General features: G+C 34.3%; 1 long non-coding RNA gene across 3 annotated transcripts in view, besides 1 other annotated feature; it reads left to right on the forward strand.

The window, feature by feature from the left end:
• LINC01684 (long intergenic non-protein coding RNA 1684) overlaps positions 1–27,767 on the forward strand; it is a 119,203-nt gene that overhangs the window by 15,220 nt on the left and 76,216 nt on the right. Inside the window, exon 4 of one of the 3 annotated variants that reach the window (NR_135521.1) lies at positions 5–1,125. The exons of the other annotated variants lie outside the window; for them this stretch is intronic. This is a non-coding gene — a long non-coding RNA (long intergenic non-protein coding RNA 1684). Of the gene's footprint in view, positions 1–4; positions 1,126–27,767 lie in introns of those variants that run through there. 3 annotated transcript variants of the gene reach the window in all.
• Positions 18,723–18,923: a silencer, noted in NCBI's record as "peak4389 fragment used in MPRA reporter construct". NCBI's record gives its function as "represses an SCP1 promoter by STARR-seq MPRAs in K562 erythroleukemia cells {active_cell/tissue: K562}" and the evidence as "EXISTENCE:reporter gene assay evidence [ECO:0000049][PMID:32103011]".

A 27,767-nucleotide genomic window follows, 5' to 3' on the forward strand; every position in this document is an offset into this window, starting at 1 on the left:
ATAGCCCTATGCCTTCACAAGAACAAGTTCCCACACCAGGGTCAAGAAGGAAACCGTAAGTCAAGACAAAAGTGCCCAGTGAAGGCAGAAGATGAGGGGTCTCAGGTTGCATCTTCGGAGGCACGAGGATTCAAAGGTGAACAAAGCACACAGTACATCATTTGATGTGGTAAGTTTCATGGACATAGAAGTAAGGGGGATGAAATGTCGAGGTGTGTGTGGCGGGGGAGGAGGGGAATTCAAATGATATTCTGATCATTAAATAAACTTGAAACAAACTTGGAAAGGTGAAGTAAAACAGCAGCCATTTTCCTGACACTCAAGGATTGCTTCTGCAGGTGGAGAAAACGACAGCTTCAGATATTCTATGATGTACAGATGCCATTTATCAAATTCTTTGATTTCAAGTAATAATGGTGTTGGTGCAGCCAGAGTTGCAAAAGAGGACTGTTGATTCCAACACAGTCTCAAAGATGGTTGAATTATGTGCTTCTACTAATGTGTCTGTTATTCTGGAGCCCATATTTGGAAACCCAGTCTAAAAAATGCATCTTAATCCCTATCTATGATTTTGAAACCATTTAATTATTTACTTCTCCATATGTCTGAAGGCAGTACTACACATTGGAAGTTTGAGGAAATAGGATACTTAAATATTTATTTAAGATAATTGAAGAGTAATTAGTCCAGGGAAAGATTATAGGATTCCCTAGAGGTATAGGGCCTACTGGAGGTGATCAAATTAAAATGAAGTCATTCATAATGATTTTTTTTCACTAGTCCTCTCATGCCTGCATGATGAGAAGATATGAACAAGTAAATAATTGGACTTAACCTGTGCTTTTCCTACTTGCATAAAATGAGGATGTTAATGGGAATTGTGGATATGTGAAAGATGAAGATTATGATGATAGGCCACAGAATTTAAGTTTAGTAAAATGGAAAGTGAGAGCATTTGGTGGTTAGAGAGTAAAAAGGTAGTAGAAACCATGGTTTGGACAAGGCAATTAAATAGGAGTGAAGTAGAGCAAATAAAAGGAAACACTATTAAGGCAGAAGGTTGATACTATAGAATTCTGAGATAATAATCAACTATTGTTTGGAAATAAAATTTGTTTATATTTATACTTGCTTATTTTACCATCTCATTTTTTGGTTAAAGTTACAAGAAGTAGAGTTATGTCCTAGTTTTCTGTAACCAGTGACAATAGTAAAAACAAGAATTAATTGACCACATACTATTTTTGAGACTATTTTATGTGATTTTATTGATTAAATAATTGATATTTCAAACAACTCTGTGAAAAAGGAAATATCACTAAGCCTATTACATAGACAAAAAAGAAGAGCAGAGAAGCAAAGCATCACAGGGCTGGTAAATTGCAGAGCTGAGATTAGAACGAAGTAGTTTGACTTTAGAGCCTGCGTGCTTACCTGGACTTTTTCACTTTCTTGACCAGAATTTAGATCTGATTTCTAGCTATCTTTCTTTTTTCCCACATAGCCATTTTATCTGACTGAAAGATTATAGAAATATGTGCACAACTGGACTGAATACTTGATTGTATAGTTAACTCATAGTGATGCCAGCCTCTAAAATGGCTTACATGATGAAATGAAGAAGTATCTCTGCTATAAAGGCTTTGGAGTAATGTATTTGTGACCATATTTGTTCATGTTTGTAACAACATCAGACTAAAATGGAGAGTTCTGATCGGCTGCACAATAACCACTGTGCAAACATTCAGCACAGTCATCAAAATATCAAAAACAGAAAAAAAAAAATCCAGGTAATGTAAGGCTATAATCATTTCAGAATATTTATTAAATTTAAATTCATTGTAAATAATTCTGAATCTCATACCTCATTATCACAGACTTAATCTAGATAATAAATATAAAAATTACATTAAAAATTCTGTAAACTATAAAAAAATTAAAAAGGATTTGATACAGACTTGAGTTTTGGTTTGTTTATAATCTTGACTGTTGCTATATTGACCCTTAATTTCAACAGTCACTGAAAATCATAAGGTAAAATTACTTCCCAGTTTTTTTTTAAGTTTCTTAATTAGAATTTGCTTTCTGAGAACACTCAAAACAGCTTTATGTGCCATGCAAAGTAATTAGGGGAATTCTTATTACTCTTGCAACTAGGAGATGGAAGCATCAAAAAATTAATTGAATAATAAATATCACCATAGGGAAACAACATTATTTGAATATCACCATCCTTCTGGCTTGAATCCCAGAATGAAGGAAACTGATGGATTTTCAGAAAGGTAGGAAACAATGTACAGGTTTTGTTTTCAATAATTTTTTATTCAATTCTGTACATGAAGCAAATATTTTACTTCTAAAATATCGGTCATCGTTTTTCCATTATCTGAAATTCTATAGGAAACTCCAAGAATGCAAAAGTGGTCATATGTGTGTTTGTGTTTGTGTGTGTTTGTCCATATATTCATTTTCTCAAATGTACTATATAAGAGCCTCATTAATACTGAAGACTGCAAAATAAATCATAAAAATATTTCAGCACTGGTTCCAATTCAGGCAGAATAAGTGGAACATACATCTGCTGCATGTTTTATTTTATTATTTAAAATATCCAACAATAAAATGGAAGATGAAATGGTTTGCTCATTTAATTTCCAGATATCACCTCATTTTGAAGAGATAAATGTGGTATCACCTGGAGATTGTTACAAAATATTTCAAATGGAAAGGCAAGTGTAAAACCCAGAATAACATTGTGAAGCCAATATTGATCAATAGGTGGAGCATATTACCGGAAACAGGAAATTGTTACGTTGAATGATTTCTCCATTTAGGTGCTACAGGGGCATGAGAGGCCATTGGAATTCTACCTTATGGGTCTCTTCCCCACTGCTAACTATGTAAACTTGTGTTCTTGCACCTCTGAGGTGTGATCTGATATCATTTCTACAATCCTCCATGTATTAGTCTGTGTTCACACTGCTTTAAATACCCGGGACTTGGTAATTTATAAAGGAAAGAGGTTTAATTAAGTCACCATTTGGCATGACTGAGGAAGCCTCAGGAAACTTACAATTATGGTGGAACAGGAAGCAGACACTTTCTTCACAAGTTGGCGAGAAAAAGAATAGCAAAGGAGAAACTTTCAAACACATAAAAACCCATCAGATCTGATGAGAACTCACTCATTTTCACAAGAACCGCATGGGGGAAGCTGCCCCCATAATCCATTACCACCTCCCTTCCACAACACCTGGGAATTGCAGGTCCCTCCCTTGATACATGGGGATTAAATTCAAGATGAGATTTGGGTTGGAACACAGAGCCAAACCATATCATTCTGCCCCTTGCCCCTAGCAAATCTCATGTCTTTTCACATTTCAAAACCAATCATCCCTTCCCAACAGTCCCCCAGTCTTAACTCATTCCAGCATTAACTCAAAAGTCCACAGTCTGAAGTCTCATCTGAGACAAGGCAAGTGCCTTCCACCTATGAGCCTGTAAAATCAAAATCAAGTTAGTAACTTTTATACCATGGGGATTTAGGCATTGCATAAATGCTCCCATTCCAAATGGGAGAAATAGGCCAAAACAAAGGGGCTACAGACCCCATGCAAGTCCAAAATCCAGTGGGACAGTCATTAAATCTTAAAGCTCCAAAATGATCTCCTTTGACTCCATATCTCACATCCATGGAACGAGAGTGAGCAATGTATTAAAGAAACAGGTTTAATTGACTCACAGTTCATCATGGCTGGGGAGGCCACAGGAAACTTACAATTATGGTGGAAGGGGAAGCAGGCAACTTCTTCACAACTGGGCAGGAAAGAGAAGACTGGAGGAGAAACTTCCAAACACTTATAAATTCATTAGATCTCATGATAACTCACTCACTATCATGAGAACACCATGGAGAAAACCATCCCCAGGATCCAATCACCTCCCTCCCTTGATACTTGGAGATTACAGGTCTCTCCCTTGACATGTGGGAAATACAATTCCAGATAAAACTCGAGTGGGGACACAGAATCAAACCATGTCACTCTACCACCACAATTACTCTGTTATTCGCCAACAGGAAATATTTTACTTCTTCAAAAAAGGCACTTTCACCTGTTTTCTTTATTGCTATGTGATGTTCATTCAATCTCACTTACCCAGTGCAGTTTCCCCAGGCCCAGAGATTTCTGGTTAACACCTATTCTTGGCATCTTAGTTGGTTATCAATTTTTTCCAGAATATATTTATTGACCACTACCCCACTCCATTCATTTTGATTAAATGTGTTAAACATAACCCATGAAACCAGCACTTTCATGTCAATCTATAGTTTTCATAATCTTAGAATTCTTCAGATTTTATTGAACTTAGTTTTGTTCATTTAACCCTCAAACTTGTAAGCTTGGTGGAATTTTGGTTTGGGGTTCTTTATATCTCTAGTACTTAGCACTAAGCATGGCATAAGTTCTCAAGAAACATTGACATTAATTGGTGATTTGTTAAATTTTCATTTTATTCCCAAGGAGGTTCTTACTTCACAGGTTATTCATATAACATTTTGCAAAGTAAAAATGTTAAAAACTAATCATATTTTTAACTGTATGTGCTTTCCATTTGTATATGTTCCATGTGAGTATTTTAAATTTATAAGCATAACGTATACATTTAAAGCAATATACAAAACCTAGAATAAGTATTTTCTACAAATTTAAAAAACTATACAAATAAATTAAAAATATAGATTTTAGCAATTCTGATTTCTTCAGGATCTGCAGGACAACAGCCGCTTGTTTGTGATTTAAAAGCACCAATAAAATTGAATATGAATCACATGAATAAGCAGACCCCCACTCAAGATTCAGGTACTGCAAGGTGTCTGCATTTCGAGACAACACAGGGTTTCAATTACAGCAATTACTCAAGATGTTAACAAGGGATACTACTGTAAGATTTTTATGATGGTCAAAGGATAAAATACAGCAGTAGAAAGAAAATACAGACAAACATCTAAGATGATTGAGACATTGAGGCATATCTTCCAGGGTTAACTGTCAATCACACAGGATGTAATTTGTCTCCAGACCATGAACTGCCAAAAATGTATAATATCTTGGCTTGGGGAAGACTCATTCATACTCAAGGTGGTGTTTTTTATATTTTATAACCCTCTGGAAGCATGGCCATATTCAATAGCAGAAATAGGTCAAAACAGTCACCAGATGCAAACATGCATTCTGGATATATTCTGTACAGAATGGATTGGAAAGGTTGCATTCCTTCTGGAAGAGGTAGGGAAGAACAATTTCCTTGACTTTTCCAGGTTCTAGAGGCCACCAGCATGTCTCAGCTTGTGTCTCCACATCCCTCCAAATTCTACTTCTTCTCATTACATCTTTTTTTGACTCTGATCCTCTGACTCCATCCTATAAGGACCTTGTGATCACATGCAGGGTAACCTCTCCATCTAAAGATCCTCAACTCATCACATCCACAAAGTTCCATATACAATGTAAAGTAATATCAGTATCAGATATTAACAGGTAGAAATCGTTTTGGAGGAGATCCCACAGCCAGTTTTTAATTTGGGCATTGGGTGTTGGCAGAGGAACCAAGTGTAAATTATACCCCACCTGTTTAAATTCTCATAGATTGGTGGGATAATAATTATCCTGTACATCGATTTACTGTACTTCTACTAACAAGATGCTTCACCTGTCTGTTTGAATATCTGTAGGAATATGCCTCATTTTTCATCTTGAATCAGTGTCCATGATCTTTCCCAAATTTGACCTCCTTTAACATGTTGTCCAACTGTTTGCTGAGTTTGTGTAATCTATTTTTAAATCTATATTATGTGTTCAAATTTCTTGACACTTTTTAAATATCATCCCTTCTAATTAGCCAATAAAATCAACGTTTTTTCCCTCAATATGACTGTTTTTTAGGTTCATTTATCCTTTTCTAGGAATCCTATTTTTATGTCAATTATATTTAAGTCTCTTTTTCACAGCAACATTTAAAGGTATGATCATGATGTCGTGTTTAGTGACCAAGCTTTTCTTAGGATTTCATAAATTTAATCCATTTCCTGCCACTGCAATTTTAGGCAGAGAAAAAAAAATAGAAGAAGTGAAAATGTATGTAAATTCCTATGCCATTCCCCATTATCGCTTTCCTATATTCCTTACCTTATCTCAACCATTGATTAGATGGTGACCTCTTCACTTCTACATACATTTGTTCAATCATGTGACTCATCTCTTCGGTCTTTTCTGAAACCTCAGTTTTACAAACAGGTGTTTCAATTGTCCTTTTTTTTTTAAATCAGTCCACTATCTTGTGACTTGTAAGGAAAATGATACTTTCATCGTACATGTTTCTTAACCTCAAACAAGTGTTATGGTGCACCTGCAGAAAAATGATCTCTTCATCATTTGACAAAGCAGTGGATCCAAACTGAAATAATGTTTCTAGCCAAAGACCCCTAGTATCTTTATGGCATCTTGTTCAGGTACCAGATATCAGATATGCAAGTCCAAATCCAGAATCAATATAATTTAAGTCAGTATCCCCTAATTATTCAGTTAGAATCCTGGAAGGTGGTTAAATGTAACAGATATGTCATTTATGGGTCAGCCTGATCCTCTTGGTAACATGAAACATAACTGTCTTTAGGCTTATATGTCTTTTGACAAAAGGCCAAGTGTTATTCAAAGTTAAATTTTTGAAGAAGAAAGTGGAGTATTCTCCTTTTATTCTGCTAATTGTTGCATTGCTCAAATGACTTAATTACCTCTCATTATGTCTACCTAAGAGGCCACTTCCAATAAAAGATTGAGGTCATCAGTTTGTTTATTTTATTCCCCTGCTGAAGTAAGAAATGCTTTTTTTTTCCTTCTCTAACTGCATGATAATTTTTCATAATAAGCACTCGACACTGTGATTCCTTTTAGTTTCCAGTCATTTAAGGCCCATTTTTTGACCACATAGCCAGTTTATTGGCTACTGTCCAAAACTGATATAAATCCATACACTATTATTATTATCACTCCCCAGTTTCTCTGATAGCATGGGCAACACCATTTTCTTCCCAATGAGTGGATTTACCTTCACCCCTTATGAAGTACGTGCAATTATCCACCAGTTGTAGTACAGCTGCTTCCAGATTGAAGGCCAGCTCTCCACCGTTGAAAAGTAAACCCTGCTGTGTTTTTTTTGTTTTTGTTTTTGTTTTTGTTTTTGTTTTTTTGTTTTTTTGGTTGGTTTGTTTGTTTTTACTGAGATGGAGTCTCAATTTGTCACCCAGGCTGGAGTGCAGTGGCGCGATCTTGGCTCACTGCAACTTTCGCCTCCTGGGTTCTCCTGCCTCAGCCTCCCTGTAGCTGGGATTACAGGTGGGCGCCATGATGCCCAGCTAATTTTTTGTATTTTTTAGTAGAGACGGGGTTTTGCCATGTTGGCCAGCTGGTCTCAAACTCCTGACCTCAGGTGATCTGCCTGCCTCAGCTTCCCAAAGTGCTGGGGTTACAGGTGTGAGCCACCGTTCCTGGCCAATCTGCTGCTTGTTTAGCAACCTCCAGTAACTGATCATATATAGGAACTCATTTGGCAGTGAAGTGAGGGCAACTCCTCAGGAGGAACCAAAATAACAAGACTCAAAGACATGGAAGAAACTCTTCATGTAGGCAATATGTGCCTCCAGGGGTCCTCCGACACAGGTGCTTGAGCATTTGATGTGGAAACATGTTTGTACATTTCCCTCCCTACTGGAATGTTGTTCTGACATAGTCCATTTCATGATGGGTATATGATATCAAATAATAATTTATGCATTCTTATAATGAAGAATTTTAATAATAATAATAATAAAAGCAGTTTTAAATAAAGCCCAGAATAACAGTTGCCTTTCAAAGAAATGTATTTAGTAGCAGCCTCAAGTCACTTTATAGTAAAATCTTAACAGTTATGGGTGGCAGTTAAGAACTTATTCCAAAATTCCTAGTAATGTGAGTACAGTGGCTGACATTTCAAATACCGTTGAACCTGTTTGGCATTCTCAGAGGAATTATCTGGGTTATTACTCTTTGAAGCTCCAAGAGAGATGGCTTTTGCTCAGAGTCCCATGCAAATTAACTTTCATAAAAATAAATTGGTAAACACAAAACAAAGAAAAAAATAGTTTGAATAATAGGTTAGTATGTTCCTCAATATAGTATGAAATTTCTCTAGAAACCAAAAATCCTATTAGTCTTGTGCACCTTTTTGGATTTGGAGCTTGCAGAGAATAACTTGTATGTGTATGTGTGTGTGTGTGTGTGTGTAAGAGCTCTAGTATCTCTGACCCAGGTAATTCCTAATAATTTCACCATTTTGCTGTCCCAGTATTTTAACCAGCTATTTATTAGTTAACCCCCAGTTGTCAAACGATGAGTCCAGGGAGAAATGAACATTATATCATAAACATAATGAATTACAATATTTTAAATAAAAATCTAAACCTCAGGTTGTCGTGATAAGAAATATAATTTTAATATTTCTGGGGGTGAAAATAAACATGTATTGGAATCAACCCCACAGGAATACAAATAATGTTTTATTTTCTCCTGAAAAGAAAGCATTAATCAAATAGGTTACAGAATAAAATGACCCTTAGCTTGTTGGTTAGTGCTAGGATAACCTATAATCTGTATTTTTAAAAAATAAAATAACAATAATACCAAAATACCTTGATCACAACCTCACTTTATACAAAAATTAACTTGCAAATCAATCATAGAAAGAAATATTTTAAAAGTACAAAATATTTGCAAACCTAGGGGAGGTAAATATTTCTTGGCCAGGACATGAAAGCGCTACATATGAAATAGAGGACAAATGGGTTACATCCAAGTTAAAAATATCTATTCATTACAATATTTTTTTTGTAGAAAAAGAAATGGCACCAATACATAAATTAACCAAAAAAAAAACATATTCATAACTAAAAAGCTTTAAATAGAGTACAAAAAACACTCCAACAACTCAATAATGAGAAGATATTAAAATTAAATAATACACAAAAAGACTGGAACAGGCAATTCACAACAAAAGTTATGTAAATGGAAAACCAGTGGGTAAAACAATACTCAATATATCATTAGTCATGAAGGGAATGCAAATTAAGAACAACAAGATACTACTATTATTCAGTGCACTAGCATGGCTTAAATTTGAAAGAACGACAACACCAAATGTTGCTGAGGACATGAAACAACCGGAATCCATTATACTGAAAAGACCATATAATGGTATATCCATTTTACAGTCTATATGACAATTTCTTATCAAGCTAAACACACATTCATTCTTTCACAAAGAAGTTTAACTTACAGTTATTCACCAAAGATAAATGAGAGTATATAAGCACAGGAAGAATTTATACTAATGTTCATAGAGCTCTGATTTTTAAAAAATCTAATACTGTAAACAGCCCAAGTGATAGTATAGCCATGCAATGGAATATTACTCAACAACAACAAAAATAAATGTTGCAAATAGTCATTGCCAATAATGCAACAATATGGAAGAATCTCAGTTTATGTTGAATGAAAGAAGCCAAACAGAAAATATTGTACAATTTCACTTATAAGAAGCTCTAGAACAGGCACAATTATGATAGTGAAGATCAGATCAATGTTTGCTTTAGATAGGACATGAAAGAGATTTCCTAAAAGGAAAAACAGGATCTTCCTAAGGTGATGATAATGGTCTGTATCTTTGCTGAAATGGTGAGTACAGAAACAAACATATTTGTCATTGAGCTTGCACTACAAATTATTGAGCTGTACACTAACCTATGCATTTTATTGCATGATATATTCTATATAGGATATTTCATAATATATTCTACAAACACCCTAGTGGGACATCAACAGGAAGCTGTGTACAAATATGCTTCCACCAACTAGAATAATGTAGCATAGTACATGAAATTAATTACAGTCTTAAATTATAAATAGATAATAGAGGTCATTCAGCACAATCCTATACGAAAATTAGAAGTAATAGCTGCTGCTTGAAAGGTCATAGGGTCATCAACACTTTAATTTAGCATTCACCATTATGGGAACTCATTTTATCACAGTGTGATAATAGCTTTCATCATTGCAAAAGTGCTGATATGATCAAGAAACTTCCATGACATCTTTCCTTTAGTCCTGGTTTTGATCTTTGAACTGTATGATGTGGGATGCATTCCTCCTCATGAGACAATCTTTTAAATGAAAATATGTATTTAACTTATTATGGTTTGCAGTTTCCCACACTGAAGGATAATTAATTCCACTATACAACACATTAATTTTCAAATGTGTAACCCTTTTGGTTATCCTTCAGTTTGTCAATATCCCTCACTGAAAATTGATCTTAAAAATAAACAGACTAGGTAAGGTGTGATCTGAGGAGTAGAGCTCTATTGTTTCTGAACACTACACTTCTAATCACAGTGTGTCTGCTGATTTGTAAATTTGAGTCAATTAAATCCCTGCCTAACCCACTATTGTTACAGTTCATTAGCTTTGACCTAAATATTAGAATTACGCTTATTCTCTTACATTCTATTACATTTTCAAAACCAATTTTTTCTACATTATGATTCCAATTTCAAATAAGCTAAATTGAGACAAATATATCTAATATGTCTAAATTCAGATATTAAGAAAAAGCATGTTGAATCAGACAGAACTATTTTATCCAGGAGACTTACATAAGACAATAGTTTGGCAGTTGTCCATAAGAAACTTTCTAAATCTATTTTCACTCAGTAAAAATAGCATGCATGATTTATTCTCCTCAAACATTCACTTTTGTTTTTCATAGAACACATTTCAAGCAAATTCTGATTTTAAGCTTTCCGTTGCTGTTACCCCATTTTTTAAATTTGCTAGACATTTTTAGCACTCTTAAAGCACTTGTGTAATAAATTGTTATAGCTCTTTACCTTTAGGAAACATTTGATTGAAAACTGGCAAACAAGTAATTACAAAACTCCGGGATGCAACAAAAAATTACTCCACTATTCTAGGTAGTTTGTCTGTAATAGATGCCCTCTAAATGCAATTTTATTGATTGCTTCCATTTTGTATTTAAAAATAAATTCTAGTAATAATTATAAAAAATTAAATTTCTGCTTGGTAAATTTAATGAATACATCAGATGTTAAATTACTTTGCCTATGAGCACATGACCTCTCATAATTAATTAAATGGCTCAAACTCATTCTTTTTATATTAACTCCAGAGAAGCCTGCAGAGGAGTTATTCTATATTTGGAAAAGGGTTTAAGAGTATTGCTTGTTTTATTACAAAATTGACCTAACATTAGTGTGGTATTAAAAAACTTGATACAAATGAAGTCAGAACTAGAGCATACTGACAGATCTTTTGCCTGACTTATTTTCTAGATCATTTGAATTAATTAGGGTAAAACATAAGATTTGGATACATTTATTTATATTTGACTTAATTTTGAACTAATAGAAAGACAGTCAATCCTGGAATTTTTATTTATACTCAGGCTGTAAAATGGATTGTCTCATTTTTAGGTTACTAAATGCCCTTGTGTTGTGAATATGTGGAATTATAACCATCAGGAATGTTTCTTACCTCATTCTTCAAGCAGATGACTAGAATTCCAGTTTTACACTAGATCATTATTTTAAATGAAACCCACTTGGTCTAACTGTCATGTAATCAGAAGAGTCACACCATGGTGAATTTAATTAAAGACATAATTATATGTTTTCACTTAATCAGAATAGCAACCTTAATCTTTACCTACAGAAAAGACTCATTTGCCAATTTTACATGACATATTTTATACAGTTAGTGACTTAAAATATTATTTTATCACATACTGTCATTAATAATGTTTATTGATAAGAGGAATTCAAAAGGCACTAGAGCAATTTAGTGCACATTTTTTTAAAAGCAAGTGTAGACTCTTCCTATGGTAAGTTTACTTAAAAATTATGCTACTGTGTAATGTTTGGTTGTTGCAAAATATGTCAGTTACTCCAATGCAACAGTCACCTTTTGGAAGACAGTATCTGGTCATAAGTAGCATTTGCTCATGAGTTAACAAGTAGAATAAATACGATGCATACATAATTATGAGTTTACCACTAAACCTGATTAAGGTGACAAATTCAACATAAAATATCTCACTACTAAATCATATAATGTTGTAAACCTGTGTGAAGTATTGTCTGGATCTTTATTATTCTAAATATTCCTGATATTCTGATTAATATAATTGGGAGCCTCTTGCTTTAATCCCTCAGGTTAGAATGGTTACATTCTCTTTATACACAAATGCTGGCCTCTCCTTAATTTTTTCTTCTATTGTTGACTTCATTTTAGAATAGCCACAATTACCAGTAACTGCATTCCTGAATTTTCTGGAATGGCATTTTAACAAAACATTCATGTCTGTGTCACAGGAATCTTGGGGTATTGCTTCACCAGCCAGAAACCTCTGTGGTCAGTGGCACCATTGCTTGAGTTTTGCTCGGCTGTTGGGCTTGTTCTGCCCACTCAGCATGGCACGCTGTGCTCAGCTTGTGCTACTGGCCTGGATCCCATGCCTGCCAAAGGCAAGCCAAGTGCAAAGTGGCAAGGGGTGTGTAAGCAAGCATGGATTCTGATCACTGCACACAGCCAGGCATGCTGGGTGTGGCAGGGTGGGTAGCATCGGACTCTGGCATGGGCACTGGCTAACTGTGAAGTTGCAGCTGGACCAGGTGTCCCACAAGCAGCTTCCATGACTGGCACTGGGAAATGTAGCGAAGCTTGGAGAAGCCAGGGACCACAAAGTCCCAAAGAGGGTATAGCCCTGGCTTGGGGAGTCAATGTATGTAATACATTTATATATAGTTATATAATACATTAATATATATTATACATAATATATTTATATTACATATAATACATTTATATATAATATAAAGAATACATTTATATACATGTACACACAAACACACCCACATATGCATTTAAACAAGGTTTTACAAAGCAATACTAAATACAGTGATATCTGATGTTTTCAATCCCATTCAATTTTCTTCTAATATACATTAATTAAAAATTAAGCAACATTGCAAGCTATATGGTTGATTTACTTACCCACAGATAGGTCACACTCTGAAACCTAAGGACTTACTCTTTGAGGACTAACTTATTTGCAGAGGATTTTAAAGGAGGAGATGCTAGCAGAAGAAAACATAATTTCAGCAAAGATAGTGTTTATTATTTTAAAAACTTATATTGTATAAAGTTGGGCCATTCACAAATATTTTACTTTACCTCTCCTTTAAAAAAATGTTAAAATGTTAATAATGCTCTTCTGAATCTACTCTCAAAGTAGACATTGTTATTAATCTTGGTTGGGCCAAACAAAGGTTAATAAAAGTAATATTACACTTCTAGAGAGAATTAGGAAACAGCACACATTGCCACCTTCTCCCTTTACTGTCGTGATGAATTGTGTTCCAGACGGAGCAAGGTCTGCCATATTTAATTCCAGAATGAGAGGACACTGCACAGTTCCAGCCAACTCCCAATGAACCAGTAGAATCAATGAGAAATAAAACTTTTTTGTTACTATAGCATAGTCTGAAATAAAACATTTCTTTGTTCTGTACCATAGTCCAGTTGATTTGACACTCAAAAGTGAGTCATGAACTAACATAAAATAAAAATATTTGGTATTGGCTTGGTAGTTTGCTGAATAGCAGCAATGATGCTGTTTCAGAGTTTGGAAGAACCATGTAAGTGCCAATGAAATATTAGGGGACATTTTGACCTGCAGTAACTTGGAAAACAGCATAACGAACGTACATAGCCTTACCGGAAGTAGTTAGAAAAGAAAAAGATAGCTCTATTTGGCAAAGTACAATAAGTACATGAACATAGGAAAGAACTGACTATTTTTTGAGCAACAGTGAAAAGAAATAAAGGGAGTCCAGGAATTTAAGAACTTTCAGGATTGTAAAGGAAACCCGCTTCTCAACCCTAAAGGTTATGTCGAAACTGAGGTCATTGAGCAATAAAGAGTAATTATTATTATAATTTGAGGCAAGGGTTAAAAGAAAATATTCTGCCTCTCAAACCTATTGTTAAAGAATTCTGAGTGGAATGAGGTATCTCCCAATAAAGATCCAAATAAACACAAGATACCCAATAAAAAATTGACATAAGCACTCACTGTCTAGGCTCAAGATTCTTTAAATTAAGTGAGAAACGCACATTGAGAAACAGACAGAAACAAAGACAAAAAAAAAATAATAAAGAAAACATTCCCCTGAAAAAATTAAAAGAATAGACATGAAGCAGAATCAACCTTTCAAATGAGATATTGGTCTGGTGTTATGATCCCCCTCCCACGTGATAGCTTATCAGTGTCTCCTGATGCAGAAAATTACTGGACATGAGGATCAAAAAAGTGATAGATTTTATTAATCACTATAAAAGTTTTGAGTAATAAGAAATTTTATTGCACAAGTATCTTGAAGACAGTTTGTAATATCAGTAAGTTTTGGATGATAAAGTTCCAAAGAACAATTAAGGTATATTAACACATAAAACAACCAGCTCTTGAATTACAATATAAATTATTAAAATAAGGCTGTTTAAAAGATATAGGGGGAACAACTTATGTATGATCATGTCAAATTTTATAAATGAAAATTTTAATACTTATGTTCTTCACCTACAATGTTGTGACAATAGTGACATTTCAGAAATAAGTGTTCAAATTTTAAGTAATAAAATATGAAATATAATTAATATTGAGTACTGAAAGTTGATTCTCTGTAAATCGGTCTTCTCTGTAAATCAATCAATACCTGCAGCTGTCCAGTAGAGGAATTTTTAATTAGGCATTCAGGTTGACTTAAAATATACCTGCTGGGTTGATAACTAAATCTATTCCATGTTATAAATGCTACCACATAACAAAAAACTGAGTATGATAGCTTTATATTAGCGAGGCATTGGCATAAACCAGCTTTGCAAAAAGAATGTCATCATTAACGGACAGAATAATTAGGCATCTATAAAATATATTATTAGTGTCAAAGTTTACTAATATCCATAAAATTAAACTTCATTTTACTCAATATATTTCACTTTAGTTATTAAAAGTGTATTCTAAAATACGTTTAATTAAATTTATTAAAATTATGCTTTTAAAATTAATTCGAACTTTGAATTAAGATGTAATGGATGTCTTCAGAAAAACTGATCAAGTTTTGAGGTATTACGGCACTGTGTAAAATTATTTTTGATTTTCAAAAAAATGTGATAATAAATAGCTGTTGCAGTGTCATTTTAAAACTCTTTATCTCTTTTAGTTAACTTTGGCCTGGCTTTAGTTCCAGCATCACAATAAGCCATTAATTATTCTCGGTAACAATAAATCTATGAGTAATAAAAAGGAACACATATTATTTTTTCCTGAATAATTAAATAAGATTTTTAGTTGACAGTACACATTGCAATAGCTTTTTGTATCCTATTAAGATAATAGTTCAATAAATATCTAAAATGAAATAATTTAATATTGGATACATTTGAAAACTTGGATGTCAGTGAAAACGATCAGTAATCTTATTTGATATTTTAGTATCATGTAAGGGGCATATTATCTGAAATAAATTAAATGGTTTAATCAGGAGCAAATGTCATATAGAAAGTCTTACTTATTACTTCTTAAGAAAAAACGGTCTACACAGAGAAGGTAAAAGCTACTAAGGCTAATCCTGCGAAACATTGCACAGTTAGACCATACTTGTCATGTCAGCCTATGATATAAATATAAAACTCTTACAAAATTTTCTTGCTATGTATGCTAAATATATTTTCAAATTAATCTGGTTGCATGATGTTAGTAATCACTAAAAAATGATTTTGGGAAACTAAAAGCAGAAGAACATAATATGGGATACAAATAATTGTTCTAACAAAGGTAGCTTACAGAAACACATTCAAGACTACCTTCAATAATGACAGTTTGGGAAACTAATTAATTTCAGTCCAGAATAACACATATAAAGTAAAAACAATTATTTATAAAAATAAAATAAAATTTAAAAATAACAATTTCAACAAATTTGAAAACTCCCAAAGTGATTCATAAAAAACAGCTACTTTTTGAGGTAAGAATGGTAAGTATATGAACTTTTTGACTGAGAATATGGAAGAGGAAATTAAAACTAACTAGGAAATATTTAAAATGAGAGAACTGTAGAAGGACTAAGATAATAAGCATTCTACAAATTCTGGGATGACTGATAAACTACTTTAACTACATAAACATGAAGAAGCCAGAATCCTCGTGAAGATTTAAAGCCTGGGAGACTTGAAAACTTGCTGTGCCTGTGAGAGCATTCTTTAATCCACATACATCTGAAATGGCAGAAAGCCTAATTGGCTTGAAGAGTCTAAGCACAGCCTTTGGAAATCATTTTCTGGCCTTTAAACCACACAAGTGCAGGATATATCTCTATGGAGACATTGACCAACAATTGTACACAGTAGGGGATGCAGGTTTGAAAATTTGAGTCTGGGCATTTTAAGTGCATTGAAAAATTAAAATCCATTTACCTTCAAAGAACAACACAAAATGTATAGTCACTAAAATGTATTTTCAAAACGCCCAGTCTTCAAAAAAAGAATTACTAACTATGCAAAACAATAAGAAAATGTGATTCTTGTTCTGAAAAAAGCATTCAACATAAAATGACTTCAGTTAGACTGAGATATCAGACTTAGCAAACAAATGCTTCATCAATTTCCTAAATATATTAATTAACAGAATTAAAATAATATATGCTTAAAATAAGTGAACAGGTAGAAAATCTCAATGAAATCAAATAAAATTAATCTTAAAGAAAATTTGAAGTAAAAAATATGATAATGTCATATTTATTAGAGAGATCTAATTCAAATTCAAGATGCAGATGAAGGAATATGTATATGAGAAATATAAGACCACTAGATGCACAATAGGGTCTTAATAAATGTATTTATTGCAAGCATGAATGAATAAATAAAGACCTAAGGAATTTTATGGAAGTAGTTATAGACTGAGTAAGCACACTATTTTACTTAGATTCTATATCATCGTATGTATATTCATGGAGTTGAGACTGTAACTAATGGTACTCAAGCCACCACCAAGCCCTACTTACTTTGTCAGTTGCACAGAGAAGAAACCAGCCCTAATGTCTATCCATTTCTCTCCTCAAGGCAACTACTATCATCAATTTCATAGTTATGTTTCAACATAATTCAATGTATGTGCCTTCATCTAAGGTTATTTTCTTTAGCTTTGTTGTAGTATAATTTACATACAAGAAAATCCACTCATGTTATGTATCCAGTTGGACGAGTTTTGGTAAAACTATAAGAAATGTAACCACTACCACTATATAGCTTTAGAAAACTTTCTGTCTCCCCCAGATGTTCTTTCATGTTGTTTTGCTTTCAATTTGTCCTCTGATCCTTGGCCACTGGCAATGACTAGATTTCTGACACTATAGTTATGCCTCTTAAACAATTTCATATAAATGGAATCATACCGTATGTCCTTTTTGAGGCTTGTTTCTTTTACTTATCATTAGTTTATTTTTAGAGGTTTCAAGGTTGCTGTATCAGTATCTTGCTTATTTTTTATTTGCCGGGCAGTATTTCATTGCATGCAAACACCAAGGTTTGCCTATCCATTTATCATTTTGACATTTTAGCTTATTCCTTTTGGGACTCTCATGAATAAAGTTTCTATGAGTATTAATTTACAAGTGTGTGTGGACATACAATTTTATTTCTCTTGAGTGTACACATAGAGTAGAAATACTTAGTCATTCGGTAATTGAAGGTTTAAATTAAAATCAAAACAAAACAAAAATGACTGTACCATTTTGCATGTGAAAAAAATAACATTTGCATTTTGACAAGTGGAATATGGAAGCTTAAAAGAAAGACACCCAACTTTCTAAGGTAGGTTCTGACAGTTTATTGGATTAGTTAAGCTGGGCAACTGGAGCCGATGAGGTCTGGGCATGACTAAGTTATCACTGAAGGTTTGCATCATTCTACTATTTGCAGTACGTTGATAGTGCCCTCAGTTAAACGATGCATGAATCAAAGTTAACAAAGTTGTCCCATTACACATCAGTCAAATTAGCTGATGAAATGGTGTATTCATGAGAAAACTTTCCAGAAGCCAAAACAGTGGGGAAATAAGGGAAAAATTTTGGAGAGGGAGTGTAAATTTTCCATGGGTCTCTCGCACTACTGCCTGTTTTCTGAGCAAGGGACATTAACAACTTTATTCCAGATTGTCTTTTTAAGAATATTTTGTATATCAAACACTTTTGAGAGATGTAAGTAAAATTTTCCTTACTCGTGTCTTTCAGGAGGGCAGATTTGTTTCCTGACCAGGATTATAAAGATGATACTCCTGTTCAGGGAAAAATTTGAGCCGGTTTTCAGCAACACACTTATAAGGCTATGGGCTTCCAAAGCTAAGGTTCCTCAGCTGTGACATAAATTCATTGTGTTTTCTGTATCATCCTGTACTACTTCACATCAGCCTCATGGTCCTCAGGGAAAGGGGAGTAGTTGCAAATGTATGCTACCTACTGTGCTGTGAGGGAAAAAAAATGCCTTTGGCTCTAAACCAGGAGGCCGTGTCTTCTGCCAGCATCTATAAAGCTGTGACACACTAACTCACAAGCTTACAGATAAAGTAAGTTTTCAGACCCTTCACTGATCTTGACATATTGGTATCCCTAAACATACCTTCCAACGTAGAGAGATAGATGCTAACATGCAATCAATACTGGTATTTAAAGTAAGAGATGCACTTATGAAAAAGAATAATGCAATATAAAGAGGACAGAGAAACGGTGGTGGATGCTGTTTTATCTAAGGTGTTTCAACACTGAAATAGACTTAAAGGAAGTGAGAACATGAGCTATGAGAATGATGCAAACAGATGGCTGCATTGTTTGTGTAAACCCTCAAATTACTTCAGTTGTAAATATTTTATAGTTCGCGTTTTTAAATCATTTCCATGTATAAGCATTCTCAAAGAAAAATCCTAAAATTAAACTTAGTGAAATAAAATAAAACAGGAAATGTGATAAAAGTGAAAATGAACGAACGTAAATCTCCTGCAAAGACTCTCTGATCCTTGGAGCTCACAAACTTTAGCTCTCAGTGTCCTTTCCTCTTTAGTCCATATACCCAGCAATGGCCGAGCACCTTCTGTATCCTTGAGGTATCTTAATGCTTTTATGAGAGTCTGGGGTCTGTCAACTTCTCCTTTTTCTTTTTTGTAATTCCTATATTAAATTCAGTAAGGGAGTCAGAAACTCATGATATATGCCATCATATTTCTGTTTCTCTTTTGATATTGAGAATGATTTCTATTTTTTTTATATTTATTCTCTGTAAATACCCTCAAATTATTTGAGGACGATCACAGAATGGTGACATGAAACAATGACCTGTCAAATATCTGTGTTAAAATTAGACTTCTTAAGTATTTTGATTTAATGTGGCCTTACATTTTCTTTATTATGAAAAGTTTATTTGTCATTTAACAAATGAAACGTGAGGTTATGCATACAGCCAACATCACATTTACATATATGCACCCACACACATAAACTTTCCTCATTCAGAAGAACGATCAGGTCAAACTGAAATATTTGTAATATTATTGTAAACTAGGAAAGTAACACTTGGTTCATTCCGATAAGATAATGAATAAACATAATGCTATAGTTTTCCAACTTGTCGCCAATCCTATAATATTCATCCACCTTGTGATGCAACTGTTGGGAAGTGTTACCATGTTCAAAGGTTGTCATATATATTTTAAATATATATATTCAAATATAAAAATATGTATAAGTATACATATATATTCAAAAATAAATACACATATAAATATTACTATAAATACATACTCGGAGTACCATATTTGTAATTGTAAAAGCATGTTGCTGTCAACAACAAATAAAGATAGATACCTAATTCTAAGTCAGCTATTGGGTAGCTATTAAATCCCTAAGAGAGGGTCTGATTCCAGATAGCTCTGTAACTGGGTCCTCTTTGTGGTCATTCACTGAAAGAGAATAGTAAATGGCATAGTATTCTACAGAAACACAAAGATAAAGTAAAATGACTGAGCCATAATACATAGGAAAGAATAGCTTTAGTTTGTTGGAGGCTAAGAAGAAATAGCTACAAAGGAGAAATACTGGAAGGGAGAAAATTGAATTGGTGTCTTTTGTGAAGAGAGCAAGATGCAGTTTGTGTTATATCCTGAAGGTTATTCTGGTTTCTGCATGATAACTTATTCTGTGTGATATAAGGATGCAGGGTTTTTGTTGATGTTTTATAGTCTTTTTATTGCTCTTCCTGTGTGGTATAAGGATGCAGGGTTTTTGTTGATGTTTTATAGTCTTTTTATTGCTCTTCCTGTGTGGTTTAAATAAAGTCATAATTACTGAAGTAAAGCTGAACATTTTAGAATTTTGTCTGACAATCGGAAAAGCCTAGCAAACGTTGCCTAGCAAGGATAAGGTTGTATGAGTTTGGAAAAACAGGGAAATTTCAGGTTATATTTCAAAAGTAAACATGTATCTATGAGCATGTAGTAAACCATACTGAAACAAATACTTTTTATTCAAAATCCCAAGCCTGTAATTCATTAAACATTGCCTAATTCTACAAAGACACAGATAGTCGTATATTGGAAATAAAGAAACAGCAATGGAGGTGTATAACTTATTAATCAAATATAAAATCTGAGGAAGTAACCAAACTCTGTGTATATGAGTTTGTATGTATACATCTATTCCGGAAGCAGAGTGCTTTCATGACCTTAGCACAGTGCTGGGTGTAAGATGACAAGGTGACAGTGAGAGAGGAAAGTAATGTATTCTTTAATAATTTTTAGCAATGCTAATTTTTGTGATAGAGAATAAATGAAGATTCTTTTTTGAGACAGAATCTCGCTCTGCCACCCAGGCTGGAGTGCAGTGGCGTGATCTTGGCTCACTGCAACCTCTGCCTCCTGGGTTCAAGCGATTCTGCTGCCTCAGCCTCCAGAGTAGCTGGGATTACAGGTGCCCGCCACCATGCTCAGCTAATTTTTGTGTTTTTAGTAGAGACGGGGTTTCACCATCTCAGGCTGGCTAATCTCGAACTCCTGGCCTCAGGTGATCCGCCCACCTTGGCCTCCCAAGGTGCTGGGATTACAGGCATAAGCCATCGAGCCCCGCCAAATGAAGAGTCTTATGACTACAGATGATATGGTTTGTCTCTGTGTTCTCACAGAAATCTCGTCTTGAATTGTAATCCCCATGTGTTGAGGGAGGGAGGTGAGTGGAATATGGGGCAATTTCTCCCATGCTGTTCTCATGATAGTGAGTGAGTTCTCACAAGATCTGATGGTTTTATAAGGGGCTCTTCCCCCTTCGCTCTTCACACACTCTCACACCTCCTGCTAGGTAAGGTGTGCCTACTTCCTCTTCTGCCATGATTGTAAGTTTCCTGAGGCCTCCCAGCCATATGGAACTGAGTCAATTAAACCTCTATTATTTATAGTTACCCAGTCTCAGATAGTATCTTTATAGCAGTATGAGAATAAACTAATATAGTCAATTGGCACTGCAGAGAGTGGGGTGTTGCTATAAAGATACCAAAAAATGTGGAAGTGACTTTGGAACTGGGTAACAGGGAGAGATTGAACCGTTTGGAAGGCACAGAGGACATAGGGAGATGTGGGAAAGTTTGAAACTTCCTAGCGATGTCTTGAATGGTTTTGACCAAAATGCTGATATTAATATGGACAATGAAGTCCAGGCTGAGGTGATCTCAGATGGAGAAGACGAACTTGTTGGTAACTGGAGTAAAGGTCACTTTTGCTGTGCTTTAGCAAAGAGACTCTTGGCATTTTGCCCCTGCCCTAGAGATCTGTGTAACACTGAACTTGAGAGAGATGATTTGAAATTGGAACTTATGTTTAAAAGGGAAGCAAACTTGAAAAGTTTGGAAAATTTGCAGCCTGATGATGTGAAAGAATAAGAGCTCCAACTTTCCCTGCAGTAGGATGTCCCAAGGTGTTCCAGGATTAAAGCATCAGCAAAGTGTTTTTGTCTCTTAATCAAGCTATACCTTTCACCTTAATGTTTGACAATACTAAACAGATACTTTTGTTCTACCTGTATAGGTTTTTTTGTCTTCATTTTTAAACTGATTTAGAATTCTTGTAAGGTGAAAGAATGCTGGTTATGCCCCCCAGATTTCTTGTAATTATCTACTCTTCCACTAGCCCTGAAAGTAGAAAGTACATACTTGTATGTATATCACATATAAGTTGAGTGTGCTTACTGATCAAATAGCTCCCACATCAGTGTGATTCTAAATGTTAAAATCTTTTTAAATCAACTCATAGCCCTACAGCTTTCCATATGTATTGTTATTAAGCTTTACCACTCTTTTGATGTAATTATTTGTACACATACTTGTCACCCAGTTGTCTTCCCCTTTAAGACAGATAACTAATAAAAATACTGGTTCTCTCACTCATGTTTTCATTAGTAAAGTAACTGACACATAACCATGACATAAAAAAAACCACCACCACCACCAAACATTTGATGAACCAATTACCAGGATGCACAAAAAAGTAGAAACTGAGTTATGTTTATGAAGAAAAGTGGTCATAGGCACCATCAAATGCATACGGGAGCATGACCATAAATCTGATGTAATACTAATGGCACAGGCATAGCTACAAATATTCCTGAAAGAGACTGGCCTTTGGGTGAAATAGGAAGAGCATGCCAAGCTAAACAGTAAAACTCAGGGAGTGATAACACTTAAAAGTGGAGTCAATTTGGCATTCCAAATATTAAGATTCTAATTTTGTAGGCATCCTTTACCCTAATGAAATCTCCCACCTAAACTTTCTTTTTCATTTATTATTGTTGTCGTTGAGAGTTTGAATATGAGGTTCAGACTTATATCATTTATTGTTTGCATGTAGACGTCTTTTTATAGGTTTTTATTCTATCTAGCATAACTTTATCTCAAGTGCAATATTATAAAACACACTACTGTTTACAACCTATAACCTTGGTCTTCTCTAATTGATAGAGGCACAAGGACCTTCAGAGCCCATTTTGCCTTCACTCAGAGGCCCTTACAGATCTATTAAGAATTATAAGGCACAATATGAAAAAAAGAACCCCCTGGTGTATTTCAGGGAATGTCGAAAAAAATTCTCTTATATTCAACCCACAGCCTGTTTTATGTTTTATTTATTGCTAAGAAGTCTCTTTCCATATGTCTAGACGTTGAATATTTTTTAAAGTTCCACATCAACACTGCATCTTTATCTAAGATTAGTATACCATGTTCTGATTGCTGAGGCATTAAACTGTTTTCAATTCTAGAAAAATGGAGGTATACTGTTATTTTCATTAGCTTTCTCCATGGTACTATTTGGATTATATTTAAATTGTTCTCAGTTGGCTCGATGACAGCAGAAATGCCAAGATTTTGAACAAAAATAACTAGTCTGACAGTTTCATATTCAACTTACGAAGCAATTGATGATTTGGCCGGACGCGATGGCTCACGCCTGTAATCCCAGCACTTTGGGAGGCTGAGCCAGGCAGATCACGAGGTCAGGAAATCGAGACCGTCCTGGCTAACACGGTGAAACGCTGTCTCTACTTAAAATACAAAAAATTAGCCGGGCGTGGTGGTGGGCACCTGTAGTCCCAGCTACTCGGGAGGCTGAGGTAGGAGAATGGTGCAAACCCGGGACGTGGAGCTTGCAGAGAGCCGAGATCGCACCACTGCACTCCAGCCCAGGCGACAGAGCGAGACTCCATCTCAAAAAATAAATAAATAAATAATATTTTTCATCCAACAATACATATTTACAAGATTTTTATGTTTGTACTTGGAAAATGTATCTTCTAATCCAGAAGGCCTATTGAATGTGTGAGTATTGTGTTTTATATGCAGATCACAAAGTGTAAATGAATAGCTGATTTACACTTAGGCTGATATTAATATTACCATTATGCCATTTAAAATCAAAGCTAGCATAATTCATGAGAAATCATACATTAAGTTAACAACAGTCTGGAAACAATGGATTCACCTTTTAACAAGGTACACATTTAAATATAGTTTTAAAAATTTGATTGGTACACTGTAAAAACACAGTAACATATAAAGAAATAGAGAAATGTGTGAAAAGCTCATAAACTACAAAAGTGCTGATGATAAAAAACTTAATTAAAAATTCAAAATGTAGATGAAAATATAAAATTAAATTAAAAGCTCTTCTCAGCCCTCACTCCAAATTTTTCTTCCCCAAATTAATCATAGTTACTAGTGGGCTTTTTATTCTAGGAGAAAATATTTTATCTGTCTACCAACATGTATACATGTCTGAAGGATATTTAATTTTTGATTACAAAAATGGATTATATTTATCAGGGCTCTGTTAAAAAAGCAAAATATCATCAAGTGTTGCTTAGTCAGTACCCAGTAAAAATCTTCATATGAGCTTTCACATGTATGTGCTTCCACAGTATATTTGGGGTTTTTCAACCCTTTAATTAAGAAAAAAGGGCCAGGCTCGGTCGCTTACACCTGTAATCCCAGCACTTTGGGAGGCTGAGGTAGGAGGATCATTTGAGGTCAGGAGTTTGAGACCGGCCTGCGCAACATGGTGAAACCCCATCTCTACTAAAAATACAAAAAATTAGCCATGTGTGGTGGTGGGCACTTGTAATCCCAGGAGAATTGCTTGAACCTGGGAGATGAAAGTTGCAGTGAGTCGAGATCATGCCACTGCACCCCAGCCTGGGTGACAGAAAAAGACTCCATCTCAAAAAAAAAAAACAAAAAACAACAAAAAAAATGCAGAAACAAAGGAACTTGAGTAACCTGCTCACAGTCACAAAATCAGGGTATGTTAGCATTCATATTGTCAATTTCAACAAATGGTGCTGGGACATTTGATTATCTGCACGCAGAAAGATGAACTTAAACCCTTACTTGTCTCATACAACACACAGAAACTAACCCAAAATGGGTGATATATTTAAATTTGAGAGCTTATATTAAAAATTTTAGGAGAAAATGTGGAAAGACATCTTTCAGATTTGGGTTAGGTAATAGTTTCTTAAATTTGATACTGAGAACATGATCTGTTAAACAAACAAAACATAATTTGGACTTTATCAAAATTCAAAACTTTTCCATCTCAAAAGACAGTATTAAGAAAATAAAACTATAAGCAAGGGGCTAGGAGACTATGTTTGTGAAGTACAAAGATACATATATCTGACAAAGGATTGTTATCTAGGATATACAATAAACTCTTGAAACTCCATGAGAAAATAACCAAACTAATTTTAGAATGGACAAATATAAAAGTAGACATTTTATTAACTAAGGTATATAAATTACTAATAAGAGATTTATATTACCAGTAAAAGCATCTTTAGTCATCAAGGAAATGTAAATTTCAAACATAGATACCATTTCATACATACTATTAGGTTGGGGCAAAAGTGATTGCACTTTTTGCCATTACTTCCAAAGGTAAAAACCGCAATCACTTTTGCACCAAACTAATAGTATGTCTAGTTAAAAAAAAAAAGACAGAAATCAGAAATAACAAATATTGGTGAGGATGTGAAAAATAAGGATTTTTAATATGTTGCTGGCGGAAATGAAAACTGTGGGAATTTTGGAAAACAGTCTCTTGAATGACAAACTAGTCGGTGGGGGCTGAAACTACATTTTATGGACAACGTGTGGAAAAAAAATGCGACCATCAAAAAATGTGACTTACATGTAAATTCATGGTGCATTTTGCTAAAAATGATGGTATAAATATTTGAAACATTGTTTATTTTATTGATCTAACAAATGTTCATAGACAAATTTTAGAACAAAACGCAATTTGTAAATGAGAACTCTGAGAACTAACAGATTTACTACTTCAAAGAACAATGTTTTCTGTGATTCAGATCCATTCCCCAAAAAGTCCAAAGTTGAAAACCAATATAAATGAAAATATATAATTTACTAAACAATAATTTAGCCAAATATTTACATTTATTATAATGAATAGAAGGAAAATAAAGTATCATTAGAAAACAATCAGAAATAACTCTATGAGAACTGTCTTGAAACTTTTGTTGTGCAATGGATATAGAAATAGTGTAACATAACCCTCAAAATGAGGATATCAATTTCAGACAGCCCTTCTTCAGAGGCTTCACATATACTTTCTTTGAATTTTGCTTTAATTACCTTAAAATATGCATTGGGGAACTTTCCATGTATCACATTCCGGTGTATTTCATTCATTTTTAATGGCTACAAATTATTTCATCTTGTGCATGAATTACCACATATTAAAATAGTTTCCTACTAATGAATATAAATGTCATTTCCTACTATTTTATTTCAAATGTAACCAATAGTAAATACATTATACCTATAGCCTAACATTTTCTTAAGTCCTCCTGAAGAGTAAAGTCCTAAGGTTGGAATTTGTGAAAGAAATGTAACATGTGCATAACCTTTTAAATTAACACTTTCACATTTTCCTCCAAAAATTTTTTAACAATTATGTTATCAGCTATGTCTTTTATTAGTTATTTCATATTCCTGTAAATAGGATAGGATTTATACTTACCCACTGTGTTGTCAATGGGAGAGCTAGTCTCTCTTGTGGGGTCTTTAAGATAATCACTTCAGTGTAACTGCAGAAATTACACTCCGAGAGGCATATGAAATTGAAGGATTTATTATACTCACAGGTCCTAGGGAGGGAAGCACGGCAAGTCCAGAGGGCCACACAAAGTCACGGCAAGCAGAGAGAAAATGGAGTAAGGACCCCTGGGCTAGTTCCTTTATTGAGGCTAATAGCAGGGGTAGTTTGTGGCACATGGGGGGCACTCTATCTGAGTAATTTGAATGTAGCTGGGTCAACATGAAAGGAGGAACTGATAAAATGGGGAAGTCATCATGAGGCTTGGCACTTGAAGACACATGTTGGAGACGGGTACCCAGAAATGGGCAATACGTCTGTAATAGTTCAAAGCAAGAATGGCAGGTGCTGGCACTCAGGAAGCCATCGAGGCAACAAATAACAACTTCACATTACACCTACCTCTCCGCCAATATTGCAAAAAGCTTGTAATGCAAACTGTGAACATTGTTTTCCAAGCTGTTGCTTGAAAAATGTCATTTTTTAAATTTTACTGTTCTATAATTTTGAATGATATCTCTTCTTATTTATTTCTTTTCATGTCTTTTCTGCAATTTTCTAGTGTTAATCATTTTCAGTTTATCAACTTTTCCAGTCTTGTGTATTTAATGCACAGGACCAATTTTTAAATATTTGATGAATTCAAGTGTGACTAATGAATACTAAAATATACTATTGTATTGGCATCATTACTTGGTCTAATAGGCTAGTATTTGAATCTACTGGTGAATTATAACCTCACAATCTAAGACTGTGTGGTAAATTTTTGCTGAATCCTATTTATTGTTAAATGAAACTTTTGGACAAACTCTAAGCTCTGTGTTCTTGTAAACCTGTTGTCACGATAAATAAAAAATATTAATCTCAACATTATTTGCTGATATAACAGCTAGCTTGCATTC

Source organism: Homo sapiens, chromosome 21 (assembly GCF_000001405.40).
Source record: "Homo sapiens chromosome 21, GRCh38.p14 Primary Assembly".
In the NCBI taxonomy this organism is placed as follows: Eukaryota; Metazoa; Chordata; class Mammalia; order Primates; family Hominidae; genus Homo; species Homo sapiens.